At 55.8% G+C, this 13,784-nt stretch overlaps 1 protein-coding gene and 1 non-coding gene across 8 annotated transcripts in view, besides 7 other annotated features; both read right to left on the bottom strand.

The window, feature by feature from the left end:
- Positions 5,326-5,455: an enhancer, noted in NCBI's record as "active region_769". NCBI's record gives its function as "activates an Ori minimal core promoter by ATAC-STARR-seq in GM12878 lymphoblastoid cells {active_cell/tissue: GM12878}" and the evidence as "EXISTENCE:reporter gene assay evidence [ECO:0000049][PMID:35858748]".
- ZC3H12A (zinc finger CCCH-type containing 12A) overlaps positions 5,416-13,784 on the bottom strand; it is a 9,798-nt gene continuing 1,429 nt past the window's right edge. For 2 of the 7 annotated variants that reach the window (XM_011542198.3, XM_047430885.1), the window contains exons 3-6: positions 9,364-9,503; positions 7,958-8,192; positions 7,253-7,439; positions 5,416-7,056 (exon numbers count right to left, since the gene is read on the bottom strand). In XM_011542198.3, the coding sequence (XP_011540500.1) occupies positions 6,877-7,056; positions 7,253-7,439; positions 7,958-8,192; positions 9,364-9,503 (742 nt within the window). In that variant the 3' untranslated portion in view covers positions 5,416-6,876. Of the gene's footprint in view, positions 7,057-7,252; positions 7,444-7,957; positions 8,193-9,363; positions 9,504-9,867; positions 10,643-13,784 lie in introns of those variants that run through there. The other 5 variants (NM_025079.3, NM_001323550.2, XM_047430884.1 and 2 more) reach the window with 4 other exon arrangements.
- Positions 9,215-10,041: an enhancer, noted in NCBI's record as "H3K4me1 hESC enhancer chr1:37945353-37946179 (GRCh37/hg19 assembly coordinates)". NCBI's record gives its function as "activates a minimal SCP1, AML or CMV promoter by ChIP-STARR-seq in primed H9 embryonic stem cells {active_cell/tissue: H9 hESC(primed)}" and the evidence as "EXISTENCE:reporter gene assay evidence [ECO:0000049][PMID:30033119]".
- Positions 9,215-10,868: a biological region, named in NCBI's record as "H3K4me1 hESC enhancers GRCh37_chr1:37944526-37945352 and GRCh37_chr1:37945353-37946179".
- On the bottom strand, positions 9,504-9,563 carry MIR6732 (microRNA 6732). The gene has a single exon (NR_106790.1). It is a non-coding gene; the product is annotated as a microRNA 6732 (primary transcript).
- Positions 9,811-10,105: an enhancer, noted in NCBI's record as "tiled region #4732; HepG2 Activating DNase unmatched - State 1:Tss, and K562 Activating DNase matched - State 5:Enh". NCBI's record gives its function as "activates a minimal TATA promoter and a strong SV40 promoter by Sharpr-MPRA in HepG2 and K562 cells {active_cell/tissue: HepG2 | K562}" and the evidence as "EXISTENCE:reporter gene assay evidence [ECO:0000049][PMID:27701403]".
- Positions 9,879-10,418: an enhancer, noted in NCBI's record as "active region_768". NCBI's record gives its function as "activates an Ori minimal core promoter by ATAC-STARR-seq in GM12878 lymphoblastoid cells {active_cell/tissue: GM12878}" and the evidence as "EXISTENCE:reporter gene assay evidence [ECO:0000049][PMID:35858748]".
- Positions 10,042-10,868: an enhancer, noted in NCBI's record as "H3K4me1 hESC enhancer chr1:37944526-37945352 (GRCh37/hg19 assembly coordinates)". NCBI's record gives its function as "activates a minimal SCP1, AML or CMV promoter by ChIP-STARR-seq in primed H9 embryonic stem cells {active_cell/tissue: H9 hESC(primed)}" and the evidence as "EXISTENCE:reporter gene assay evidence [ECO:0000049][PMID:30033119]".
- Positions 12,259-12,558: an enhancer, noted in NCBI's record as "active region_767". NCBI's record gives its function as "activates an Ori minimal core promoter by ATAC-STARR-seq in GM12878 lymphoblastoid cells {active_cell/tissue: GM12878}" and the evidence as "EXISTENCE:reporter gene assay evidence [ECO:0000049][PMID:35858748]".

Raw genomic sequence — 13,784 nt, 5'->3', positions numbered from 1 at the left:
GACTTTAAAATATTTAATTAATTTGAATACATGTGTCTTAGTCTGTTTGAGCTGCTATAACAAAAATATTAACTAAATGGCTTATAAACAACAAACATTTCTTATAGTTCTGGAGATTAGGAAGTCCAAGATCAAGCCACCAGCAACATCCAGTATCTGGTGAAGGTGTGCTTTCTGGTTCACAGATGGTGCCTTCTAGCTGTGTCCTCACATGGTGGAAGAACAAGCTCCCTTAGGCCTCTTTTTAAAAAATTTTTTGAGACGTGATCTCACTTTGTTGCCCAGGCTAGGGTGCAGTGGTGCAATCACAGGTCACTGCAGCCTCAACTTCCCAGGCTCAAGTGACCCTCTCACCTCAGCCTCCCAATTAGCTGGGACTACAGGTATGTGCCCTCACACCTGGCTAGTTTTTTTTTTAATGTTTTGTAGGCAGGGTCTTGGTATGTTGCCAAGTCTGGTTTTGAACTCGGCTGAAGTGACCCTCCTTGCCTTGGCCTCCCAAAGTGCTGGGATTCTGGATGTGAGCCATCATGCCAGGCCTCAGGGCTCTTTTATTTATTTTTATTTTTTTAGAGACAGGGTCTCACTTTGTTGCCCAGTCTGGTCTCAAACTCCTGGGCTCAAGCCATCCTTCTGCCTCAGCCTCCCAAAGTGCTGGGATTACAGGCGTGAGCCACCACACCTGACTCCTCAGGCCTCTTTTATAAGGACACTAATCCCATTTATGAGCATTCTGTCCTCATAATTTAAGCACCCCAAGGCCACTTCTCTTAATTCCATCACTTTGGGGGTTAGTATTTCAACCTATGAATTTTGGGGATACATAAACATTCAGACTGTAGCAACATGCAAATAGCATGTGCTCAAATGGCACTGAAGTATATTCAGGGTAAAGGAAGTGCTCCTGTCCCTCAGCTATCAGTTTCCTTTCCCAGAGGCAACCCCAGAGTTCCATTATGTCCTTCCTGAGGACCTTTGTACGTGTATGAGCAGTAGGCACACATGCATGTGTCTGTTCACAGAAATGGTAGCATACTGTGTATACTGTTCTCTCCTTGCTTTTTTCATCTAGCAGTCTAGCACAGAAAACATTCCATGTGTACAACTGCCTCGTTATTTTTATTGGCTACTTTATATTCTGTTGCGTGTGTATACCAAAGTTTACTTAATCAGTCCTCTGTTGATTGCATTAATATTGTTTCCCATCTTTTGCTGTTTCAGACACTGTCAGATTAAATAGCCCTAGATGCATAATTTTGCAAGTAAGAGTACTTGTAGGGTAAATTCTCAGCAGTGAGGCCAGGCATGCTGGCTCATGCCTGTAATCCCAGCACTTTGGGAGGCCAAGGCAGGAGGATGGTGGGAGGCCATGATGGGAGGATCGCTTGAGCCCAGGAGTTCAAGACTAGCCTGGGCAACAAAGTAAGACCCTGTTTCTACAAAAAATAAATTAGCCAGGTGTTGTGGTGTGGGAGGATCACTTAAGCCCTGGAAGTCGAGGCAGCAGTTAGCTGTGGTCATGCCACTGCACTCCAGTCTGGGTGACAGAGTGACTTTGTCTCTAAAAAAAGATTCCTTGAAAAAAACAACAAACATAAAAAAATAGCTGGGTGTGTTGGCTCATGACTATAAAATCCCAGCACCTTGGGAGGCTGTGGTGGTTGGATTTGCTTTGAACCCAGGAGTTCAAGACCAGCCTGAGTAACTTGGTGAAACCCCATCTCTACAAAAATACCAAAAAATTACCCAGGCATAGTGGCACATGCCTGTAGTGCCAGCTACTCGGGAGGCTGAGGTGGGGGAATCACCTGAGCCCGGGAAGTTGAGGCTGCAGTGAGCTGTGATTGTGCCACTGCACTCCAGCCCGGAAGACGGAGTAAGGCCCTGTCTCGAAAAAAAAAGAATGTTTATATTTTTTTCTCCTTTCCTTTTTATTCCTTCAGTTCCTGAGAGTTTTTCTTGGGATATTTGTTACCTGGAACAGTTGAAAGTTTCTAGAGCTTTAGACTTTGTAGAAGGCATGACAGTGACCTCTGGTGTTTCTTTCCAGGGCGGAGCTGCAAATGCCATTAAGAATTCCCTGTTTTTGGCTTAGCACTTTACTTCCCATGTTATTCTCCTTAAATTATTGTTTTCAGATCCTGCTGGAAGATCTTTGTGTCTAGGCCCTTCATTTCCAGGCCAGAGCTGGTGGGCAGGCCCCTGCTCCATGGGTAGCAGTACCAGGAAGCACCGGCAGGTGGCAGGCACGGCCCCACAAGCAGCCCACGAGCAGCCAGAATTAGAGCCTTTGCACCATTCCCAGTGACTTGACCTCCCAGCAATGTGCCCAACTTAGTGTGGGGTGGGGCGCCTGATCCTTTCCTCCCACCTCGTTTTGCTGACATCTCTTAAATGGATGAGCAGTTGAAGATCACGAGCAGCTGCCTTGAGAGGAGCTTAACAAGGCCACACCTCAGGATGACAGCCTAGGGCCTCTTCCCCTTCAGGAACTAGCTGGAAGGATTTACATGCCATGGCCTGGGATGGCTTGGGTTTCCTTAGTTGTAGGGCCCTACTTCCTGCCTCTTTCAGGCAAATCTCCCACACCCTTCCCATGAACTGGGAGGTCCCCAGAACAGGCCCTTGCCACCCTCTACTCCACCCACTCTGCTATGGTCCAAGAAAAAAAAAAAGCCAGAAGTTTGAGAAGCCCTGGGACAAAAGTGCTAGGGTCCTTGGGCTGCCTTCTTTTGGGGAAGCGTCCTCTAGGGACCAGCTGGGCCCAGGGCTGAGGCTGATTGCACCACTTCCTTCCCTGCAGCTCCTAGAGATATGTGCCCCCCAAGTCCCACTTTCTCTGCTGCTCACTCACTCTTGTCTTGGTAGAGGCCTGCCCAGCACCTCCCTCAGGGCTAGGGTCTTTCCCTTCTGTGTACAGAAGACAAATGCTGGCTTTTCCAGGAGGCATGGGGAAGGGAGGGCTGAGAGCTTTGCTGGGGGAAGATGAGGGAAGTGGCAGCTGCGGTGAGGAGTACTGGCCCCTTCCCAGACACCACCTGTCCCCCCCTGCAGGAGACTACAACGAGGGGGGTGTGAGCAGCACTGGCGGGGATGGGGGGATTGGAGAGCTGCTCCCCCGGACCTCTAAAGTTCTGCTCCTAGCTTAGGTCCCAGGTCTTTGGGGACTCCTGAGTTTCCCCCACTCTAGAGAAGTGGGATGGGGACTGGGCTGAGACATCCAGAGCAGGGATCTTTCATCCCATTGTGGGCTCGTTTGCTCTCTGCTAGGGAGGCTGGAGGTTTTCTGAGGACAGATTGGCCATAGTCACCCTGGCTTCACTCCAAGAGGGGTTAACCCATGTGTGCGAGACAGAACTCGCAATAAAACTCAGGGTTCGGCCCCTGCTGGTGAGAGCCCAAGGGCAAGGTTGGGGGGCCTGTGGGGGGGTGGGGGAGGGCAGGTGGGAGGCTGTCCTCTGTGAGCTCCCCAGGATCATTTCCCAATAGTGCCAGAATTTGCATACTTACTGGTTTCCTCATCAGCTTCTGGCTCCTGGAACCAGGAAAACAAGAGGAGGAAAGAGCAACTGGGGCAGCTCCCCAGAATTTGATCTTTTCCAGCATGCAGGAGTCACATTCCATCCCTGTCCCCCTCTCAGAGGGAAGCTGCCTCTGAAGAGGCAGGAAGCTGAGGCTCTGAGAGGGAAGTGGGTTGCCCAGGGCTGCATCGCTAGTGATGGGGGCTTGAATCCAGGACCCCTCCCTCTCCTCCTTTCACAGGAACTGAGTTATTCTCTCAAATCTAGAAAGAGGCAAGGACCATTGTGTCCCTTTTACAGGTGGGGAGACTGAGGCCCTGTGAGCAAATACCACCTACCTAAGCTGCTTGAATGGGCAGTGGAGCAGGAGGTGATGGGGAGAACTTTGGAGTTAAAGCCCAATTCGTGGGAAAGAAACACAGCTGGGGCACTGGGCCTGGTAGCCTCGGAGTCACTCTGCCTGGCAGACTGAGAAAGAGGCCTGAAGGGGCATCTAAGCCTGCCTGGAAAGCACAGGATGCAAGCTCAGGCCAGCGGGGCATGGAACTGACCAGTCCTCCCTAGATCCCAGCCCCTCAGGCACCTGCCACATGAGCTCTGCCACCCTTGCCGGGGCTTATCAGTGAACCAGCAGGGCCAGACTTGGCCTCCAGACACGGCACAGCCAGTCAGGACCTGCTGCCCACTGCCCATCCCTCCCCACACACAGCAGAAGCAGCAAATGGCTTAGAGTTCAGCTCTGGTCAAGAAGCAAGTAAGCAAGTATGAACTCCCAAGGCTGTGGCCAGCTGGCAGCTGGGATGGGAAGAGGGGTGAGAACATTCCCTATTTTTTCCAGGCAGCCTCAAGGCTCCACTGTGGTGTGCAGAGACAGCGGGGGCTTGGCAGGTGGGGTTGCTGGGCATCTGCTGCTGACCAGGTGGGTAGGGTGGTCCTTTCAGCTGCCATGCTGGAGGGATTCCTTTTTTTTTTTTTTGAGACAGGGTCTCACTTTGTCACCCAGGCTGGAGCACAATGGTGCAATCATGGCTCACTGCAGTCTCCACCTCCTGAGGTTCAGGTGATCCTCCTACCGTAGCCCAAGTAGCTGGGACTACAGGTACAGGTGTATGCCACCACACCCAGCCAATTTTGTATTTTTTGTAGAGATAGGCTTTCCCTATGTTGGCCAGGCTGGTCTCGAACTCCTGAGCTCAAGCAATCTGCCCACCTTGGCCTTCCAAGTGTTGGGATTACAGGCGTGAGCCAGCATGCCTGGCCTGGAAGGATTCCTATGTGGATGTTGAAACCTAGGAGAGTTGTGAGGTGTGGGGCTGAGGGTACCTTCACCTCCCCCATCCCTGCAGGGCCCTGAGTTGCTGCAAACTAGTGTCCAGGCCCACCCCTCCTGCCCCCCTGGTTTGGGGACCAGAACCAGGACTCAAGGCCCTGCCCCAGTCTGTCCTTCCTCTGCGGGACCTTGGGCAAGTCATTCAGCATTGCCAAGTGGCTGATAATGAACTGGACAGTCTGGTATTTTAGCTTCCTGTCCCACAAAAACAAACAGAAGCCCAAGTATATTGTAAGTAAGATTTCTTTTTGCAGATAAAACTGGACTCCAAATCCTTTTACACTTTTGCTGCCTAACTGCCCCCTCCAGCCCCCTGCCCGCTCGTGCGTCCATGGGCACCTCCTAACAAGGCCCAGACCAAGGCCTCGGGAAAGATGCCCCATCCCCAAGGAGCTATGCATTCCTGGTGAATGTTTGTTAGAAATCTTCCTTCCAGAGAAGGGTCAGGGAGCTGGTGTGGAGGGGCTTCCTCCTGGGGTGAAGGAGGTCGGGGTGCATACCTGCTGGCCTTTCCTCACCCAGAGGCCAGCCCAAAGCCCTGAGCATAACAAAGACAATCACCTCTTGAAAGGGCTCACAATGATTGTACTTTATTGATGTGTTACAGGAGGTAAGGACTTTCTGCTTAAAATATTTAAAATTTACATGTGCACACAAACAAACACAGGTTCCCCCACCCATGGGGAAGGGCGAGATGACTCTGAATAAAGGATGGAGGAGAAGAAGAGGGTGTAGACGGAGGGCCCTTGACCCCTACAGGGGCAGCAGGATAAGGAATAGAGTGGGGCAGAAGGTGGGTTATTAAGAAGCATCTTGCTTACTGACATGAAGCCACGTGCCCAGCGAGAGCACAGATGAGGCCTCATTGGCGTAGAGGAGGCCCTTGGAGGGCAGGCACACGGTGCCCAACTAGCCAGCCAAGGCCAACGTCCCAGGGGTAGGGCGGAAGTGGGGTGGCGTGCACAGGGCACCCAGCCCAGGCCTCTGCTGCCCCCACCTCCCTCCCCACCCTCTGAGAGAAAAGACGGTTTGGGCCTCAGCCACGGACCGACGCCGTTACCGGCAGCGTCTCCTTAAACTACAGAGATACAATGTGTATCAACAGGGTGATCGCTTCTGACCCACTGAGGCAGACAGCTAGAGGTGCTGCATGGGCCAGAACCAATCCTACAGTATCTTTGGTTTGTGGGTTTCCTTCCCGACTTGAATCCTCCCTCTGTCCAGCCTCTGGGGTGGGCCTCAGGGCTGGGAATGGGCTGCTCAATGGCCCAAAGCCCAGCCTGACGGCCCTTGGAGGCTGGGGGTGCTGCCCTTGCCAGCCACAGGCAGCTTACTCACTGGGGTGCTGGGACTTGTAGGAGAGGATCTCGGCAGCCAGCTGCTGGGGGTCCAGGAGCTGTGGGAAGCGCCCCATCACAGCCTCCACCAGGTGCGGGGGAAACACACCACACAGCTTAGTATACACGCTGGCCTGCTCCTTGGCCAGGCTGCCTGCCCTGCCCCACGGGCTCCTGCCAGCCCCTGGGCTCTGCACTGGGGGCTCCTGAAGGACTGATGTGGGTGGGGGCAGTGGGTATGGTTCAGACCAGTACTCTCGAGGTGGAAAGGCAGGGGGCGCGGGTGGGTAGTCGGCAGGGACACTGAAGTGGCCAGCACCCATGGCCCGGCCAAAGGCAGAGAAGGCTGCGGTGGCTGGGAGCTCAGATCCATAGGGACTGTAGCCCGTGTAAGGGGCTCGGGGTGGGCCCGGCTCACCAGGGCCTCCTCCTCGAACCCCCCAAAGTTCCGACATCTGGCTCTCCAGGGAGCCAATGCCCGAGTCCAGGCAATCCTGGGAGACGTACGGGAGTGAGTCCAGCGTCTGTGGGAGCCAGTCTGTGGGCCCAAAGCTGCTGCCACTGCCCCCGCTAGGTGCGAGGCTCCTGCCTGATGGGGCATAGGTCTGTGTTAGACCCTCTTGGCGGGACCCTGGGGATGCCTGGGCCCCCAGCTTCTTCCCATCCAGGCTGCACTGCTCACTCTCTGTTAGCAGAGAGCTGGACTGGGATGAAGGTGAAGGCCGCCGGCCATTTTTGTCCTTGCTTGGGGCTCTGGGGGGTGAGAGGAGAGCATTGGCACGGAGCTCATCTGCCACAGAGCGCTGGGGGCAGCTTGGCCGCTCTGGGTGGAAGAATCGGCACTTGATCCCATAGGTGCATTTCCTTCCTGGAAGAGGAATCAAGAGGGACTCTAAGCAGGGGCACTTCAGAACCAGGGATGAGAGCAGGGAAGGGGTGGCACAGGAAACGGGGTTGGGTGGTCCAATGGTGGAGGTCCCCAAGAGGAAAACAGGGCACAGGCAGACAGGTGAGAGGAAGGGCAGGAGTGAGGAGGGCCGGGGAGGGCAGGCTGGGTTCCATACCATAGGGACACGGCTGCTTCCTGTGCTCCAAAGTGAGTGGCTTCTTACGCAGGAAGTTGTCCAGGCTGGGCCCGTGCCGGCCCAGTGGGTCATCAGGGGGCATAAACCTGCAGAGGGTGCAAAGAACTCTCTGGAGGTGGGAGCCATGCAGGGACTTCTAATTGCTGAGAAGGGGCCGATGGCAAGCCTTGCTGGGAAGAATAGGAGAGTGACACCTAAAACTGGGGCCTGTCCAGGACCCCGCAAAACTGCTCTATGGGTGGGATCATACCAAGGGAGGAGAAAGGGATCCCCGGTCTAGAGGGCCACAGCCCATGGGCACCTTTAGGGGAACTCCCTCTCTGAGGTCGTCGGGGGATGGCAGCCCGCACCCACTGGCCCATGGCCTCTGCTCGAGAGATGCCATGTTGGTTCGTAGAGAGGCCACCTGGAACCATCAACCACATACATCCCCTCATAAGTGCTACGGCTCTATCTCCCAAATTAGCCACTCTCTCCACCCCACAGCCTGCCTGGTCCCGGTCTGATTTCTCCTATGTGGTGAGCTATCCGTCTCACTCTCAAAGCTGCCTGGAGCCAAGACCCGCAACCTCCCATGGCCACAGGGCCCCGCAGAGCCCAGCCCCCAGCTCCACCCTTGCCAAGGGCACCTCTGGCTTCCCCTGTGGACCCCAAGTCTGTCAGGGCCTCTGGGAGGGAACATACTTGTCATTGACGAAGGAGTACATGAGCAGCCGCTCCTCGATGAAGCGCTTCCACTCCTGCCGCTCGCCTTGGAGGTCACGGTATGTGTCGTTGGAAACCACGATCCCGTCAGACTCGTAGGCCAGCTTCACAATGAATCTGTCGTCATAGCACACCACCCGCTTGCCACCCACGCGTCGTGATGGTGTGAACACCAGGATCTTCTTCTTCTCCAGTTCCCGCAGGATGTGCTGGTCTGGGAGGTGACGGGTGCACACAGGTCAGGGCCCAGCGGGACCTAGAGCCAGGCCTACAGGGCTCCCTAACCTGCTGATGGCCACACACAGGAGTGGTTAACGCCAAGGTCACCGGGGCAAGAACTAACTCTGCTGAGGCCTCTTCCATGCCCCAGCCCCTCCCTTGGCGTGGCACAGTTTGCTGCCTGAAGACCAAGAACATCTGAACACAGGCGGCAGGGCCTGCATGGCAGAGGCTCCAAGCACAGAGCTGGCCTTGTTCCTTTTCTCCTTCTGGACATCAGGCCTGTTCAAGCCAGATGTGGTCTTGGCTTTGGCTTTCATCCAGCCTGTTCTGAGGGGTCCGTGAATGAGCCGCAGCTTGCTCTGGGGTGGGAGAAGTATCTTGGCTCTGTCCCTTGCATTGCCAGGACAAGGTCGCTAAATCCCATGGTGGGAAAAGGTCAGGCCACTCACCATGCCCCACCTGGGGAGCTGCTGGGACCACAGGGACACAGAAGTGTGCAAGTGGAAAGGGCCCCTCTTCCTGGAGCCTACAGTCCCAGACAGGCTGCCCCCAGATCTCAAGACTTCTAGAGAAACTGATTCAGTTTTTACCTCCAAAGGCTGGGGGCTCTTGCAAGAACAGTGGTAACAGCTAACATACACTGAGCATCTACCATGTGCCAGGTACTCTTCTCAGCACTTACCGTGTGTTAACTTATATGACCTCACGAGGAAGGCAATGCTGTCAACACCCCCTGCTGACACCGACCCCATGTTTCAGATGAGGAGCATGTGGCTCAGAGCAGGGCTAAGAGGGGTCCCTGTCCAGGCCAGGGCGCCAAGAGGGGACAGAGCCAGGATTCCAACTCTGGCTGTCTCGACTCAGAGCCCACAGGCTTAACCACTATGTGATACTGCGCTTCTGCCACTGGGGATGTTGAAAGAGCGACCTGCCCACCAGTAGGATGAGGGAGGGGCTCCAGATCTGAGGCAGAAGACTGGACAAGGTGACCTCCAATGACCACCATTCAGAGCAGGTTGCTAAGGACAGAAAAAACTGAGAAAAGAAATGCTGGTCCCTGCTTGAGTTCTAGAAGTTGTAGGTCACTCCCAGAGGGTCTCTCTTGGGGAGAACCAGGGCTGCTGGGGCAGTAAGACCATCCCACCTCCAGAGGCACCACTCACCTGTGATGGGCACGTCGGGCCGAGGCTGCTCCTTCCTCCAGGATGGCACAAACACTGTGATGTCTGTGTGGCCCCGCTCCAGAAACCAGTTCACTGCCAGCAGGATGCCCCGGCAGGAGAAGACCTCCTTGTTCCCATGGCTGGGAGGGAGAGGACAGGGTTAGCCCACACTGATGGCCAGCCTGCCACCCCCTAGGCCTGAGCAGGAGGAGGGAGGTGGTCACACCCCACCCCTGCCCTGGCTTTGGTGGTGGTAGTGAGCAGTCCCTTCCCCTTTGGAGTCACCAGCCCCTTCCCCTTTCCCCAGGGCTCAGGCCCTGGCCCTCTGCAGGTGGGGCCCAAGGCCAAGGCCTCCATTCCCAGTGCCAGTTCCCACAGCTCCAGGATGGCCAGGCCCCGCTGGGACTTTCCCTGAGGCTCCATCTCCTGAAAGTGAGGAAGCGCCCAGGAAGCTGGCAGCACTGCTCCCCACGGTGGGGGAGGGCCAGGCCACTTGCAACACACCTGGGGGTGGGGGAAAGGTGCCGCGAGACTTCTGGTTCCTGCCCCACCCGGCGAGCTGCCGGGACCACAGGGACAGATGTACACATGCACACTGAGTCACCACCCCTCCCTCGCCTCTTGCAGCGTGGGTGGGGGCGGGGGAAGCACCGGCTGGGCTGACCGAGGAGAAACCAGATTGTTCCGGATTAAAGTTCAGTCCTCACACACACCTCAGGGACTGGGGCCTGAGAAAGGCAAAGGGGAAGGGGCTGGCGACTCCAGCCTTCAGCATGGGACAGAAAGCGCCGGAGTGAAGCAAGTTCCCCAGGAGCCTTTCAGTCTGAAAGTGAAAGGATACTGCTTTTCCTCCCAAGATGGCAATTCCCCCAAATGCCTCTTCACCCCAAGGCAGAAAGACCATCAGGAAGATGCTAGGGGACTCTTAGCAAGGACAGCTGAGTAAGGCATGGGCCCTGCCTTGGTCTCAGACGAGGCCGCGCCCCACCCACAGGTGGCTGCACCCAGAAGGAAGCCTGGCAGGGCTCCTGGGCTGCCGCAGCTCTCCGTTCCTCTATCTGAAAATGGGCCCAGCAGTCTGCAGCTTCCTTAAGAGGGGTCAGTCAGTGGGACAGCTTTCCTGGTGGCTTCAGGCCAAAGATGGCCCTGCAAAGTAGGGGTTCCAACTGGATTTCCTGAGGGATGGGGGACTGGGGCTTGGGGCTCCCAGGTAACACTAGGTGTCATGGAAGAGCTCCTAGGACCAGCAGCCCCACGTCTCACTGCCCCCTCAGTGAACAGCTTAGACTCTCGTATTTGGCAAATAAAACAGAATAAATGTTACGCAAAAGAGGCAAGTCCAGGGCCAACCACATCCTGTGGGTGTCTTTAATGGGAGTGGGGGAGGTAAGGGGTGATAGCTGGAGCCCTAAGAGAAGCTAGGGAGGGAGGTGGGGCAGCTGGGGGCCATGGAGGCTATTTGGGGGCAAGACTGGGGCACCAGGGTCTGAAGGTCTCTAAATTGTAGGGGAGACAAAGTCCAGCCCAGGGCAGCACTCATCCTTCCCGGTCCCTCTGCCACATCTGCCAGCCTGCTTATAATAAAAGTTCCCATTTGCTGAGAGCTGTGAACCAGGCCCTGTTATAAGTGTCTAACACTGAATCATCAGCAAGCTTGTGAGGAGGGCACTATACCATCATCAACTCCTTCCCTGTTTTTCAGATGAAAACTGTGGTCCAGAGAAGGCAGCTTAGTCACCAGGGTCACACAGCAGTTAACGGTGGAAGAGAGACGCAAGCCCAGGGCCTATGCTTATCACTACCCTGTACGTCAATGCTCAGGCAGGTACGAAGGCAGGCACAGACCCTGATCGCAGGGAATGAGCAGGGATTCGCAGGCACTGAGCTCCCGCTGGTGGCCAGATATATGGCTTCATTCTTATAGGGCTTGCTACCGTGAAGGAAAGGAAGGTCACCTGGCTAGTGGTAAGAGACAGTCAGAACTCGAACCCAGGTCTGGGCCACTCGGTTGCCTTCCTGTCTCTAACAGAAGATCCAGAATTTATTTGGGAGAACAAAGCTCCCAAAATTGAGTTTGAACAAAGTGTGTTATGAGAGACAGGTGGCGAACGGGAGAAACAATGCTGCTGGCAAACTCCTGCTCTTCCTTCAGAACCCTTGTGAGATGTCACTGCCTCTGAGAAGCCTTCCCTGACCTGCCACAATAGGTCAGGTCCCTGGTCTGTGTCTTCACAATGCCCAGTGCTTCCCCCATCACATCACCCCCCTTCCTTGGGCCTTCTGGCCTGCCTCTCAAAACCATGGCAGCTGGGTCATCCCAGGCCTGGCTCCTTGTCTCAGGTATGCAGTGTGCGCATGTATCCGCCCACCTGCCTCCCTCCGGGCACATGATCCTAGGCTAGTATCTTGGAGCACTGGGAACTAATGGGATGCCAGGGCTCTCAGGGCAGTGCACTGCCTGTGGGCACTGAAAATCTTGGCTGGGACAAGTCGGTTCTCAGCAGCCCTAGCACCTGAATATTCCCTCAGCAGATGGAAAAACTGATCAGTGGGCGCTATCAGAGCCCTCCTCCTGGTAGAGCACATGAGGCCTGGAGTGCCCCCCTACAGCTAGCTTTAGTCTCTTTCACTGCACTGGAGGAAGCGCTGCTGGCACAGGAAAACCAGACATCCCTGCCCCCATTCCAGTTCTCTTTGCCTGTAAGGTCAGGGTCCCCCAGCCGGGCTAAGCAGACACTGATAGGATGTGTGTGTAGAAGACTCCAGCTAGGCTGCTCCTGCCCCAGGACAGAAGGCAGGGCTGGGCCAGCCTCCCCAGGTGAAAAGATATGCCTGGGCTGGGCCTGGCGAGTGGAAAAAAATTCCCTTAGAAGGAAACAGAGGTGAATTTCCCCATGATTTGCATATGATGGGGGGGCTAGCCCGCCTGCCCCTGGGGAGGGGGGGTGGCCGGGCAGGAACCGAGTAGCAGCTGAGACAGGAAGTTTGAGGCTGGAATTCCCCTCCTGCCACTACCCCAGCTCAGAAACCCCCGAGGTGGGTGCGTGGCTCTGCTTCTCAGGAGCAGGCTCCTCTGAGCACCCCTCATCACAGCCCCTCCTCCCATGTCCCTCCTCCTTCTGGATACAAACACATACTGCATATGGCTGCTCCCAGGGCTCAGCCGCTCCTGGCCCATACCTCCAGAGGAAGGAGTCACACAGATCCAACCTAGCTCCTAGCCCAGCTACATGAGGCTGGACACTGAGAGGGACCCCTTCTAATCTCGAAGCATGGGCTGTGACCTGCTGCCTCTTGGCATGGAAACTGGATTTTCTCAGCCTCCCATCCAGGCTCAGCCCAAGTCAGAGAGAGGAAGACTGGCCTGAAGGTGACAGAAGGAGGGAAGAGCACTCAGCTGCATGCCTGCTGAGCTGGGCCAGGGCCAGCTGGACAGTGAACTTGTCCCACAGGGGCCACAAATTAGGGAGGGCAGAGGCTGATGTCATGCCAGCCTTGGGCAGCCCACCTAGGAGCTCCCTCAGGGCAGCCAGAAAATCATCCCTTCTCAACCCTGTGTCTGGGGTCTCCCCGTCCATGCCAACAGGAACTTTTCCCTGTGAGCCATCCACCCAGCACTGACTCATCAGCCTGCCTTGGAGGGAACTGGGAAAAAAGTGGGGCCAGAGGGTGGAGCCTGGATTGACGGGAGAAGTCTGGGTTTCCCAAGGTCAGCAGCAGCCCTGGCTTCCCTCTCTGCCCCTACCTCCCCACCCCATTCCTGTGCTGGGGGATGGGGGTGGGAGTCACTGGGGGCTGAGTCCTGGCTCTGGCCCCGGGGAACCTCCAGAGACTGGTCCAGCCCAGGCTGCTTCAGCTGAGTCAGTAGGGATCCAAGTTGCAGCTCGCCTGAGGCCAGAGCATCAGGCCACCTGCCCACAACCCATGTAAAGCTGGACCCAGCCTTGAGGTCACTCTTGGACACAGTCACTGGACCTGTTTTCGTGGGAGCCCAGGTCTGAGACAAGAAGGCCTCAGAAGCCCAGCCCCTGAAATAACAACAACAACTGCTACTACCACTGCCTACTACCACTACTATGGTTCCTGAACGCTTGCTCCTCTCCGGGATCCGCACACTCCCTCCTCACAACACCCACCTGAGATCAGGTTCCGAGGGGTGAGTGAGCAGCTGCCCACGGGCTGGTCCCCTTTACAGCCCTGCCTCACATTACAGGAGAGGAGTGGAGACACAGTGCTGGCCTCAGGGAGGGACCCACAGCATAAGGTAAGCTCTGCGGACAGAGGGACCTGGGCTGGAACCCTGCCTCTGTCACTTACCAGTAGCGCGACCCTAGCCTCATAAAAGGCTTTCCCTCCCTCTAGACCAGTCCCTAAGAAGGAAGTCACTTCTTCCAGCCCACCAGAGCTGCAGAGACAGTCAT

This window comes from Homo sapiens, chromosome 1, assembly GCF_000001405.40.
Source record: "Homo sapiens chromosome 1, GRCh38.p14 Primary Assembly".
Lineage (NCBI taxonomy): Eukaryota > Metazoa > Chordata > Mammalia > Primates > Hominidae > Homo > Homo sapiens.
The sequence above is the reverse complement of the archived record's forward strand: the minus strand, read 5'-3'. Positions and strand labels throughout refer to the sequence as shown.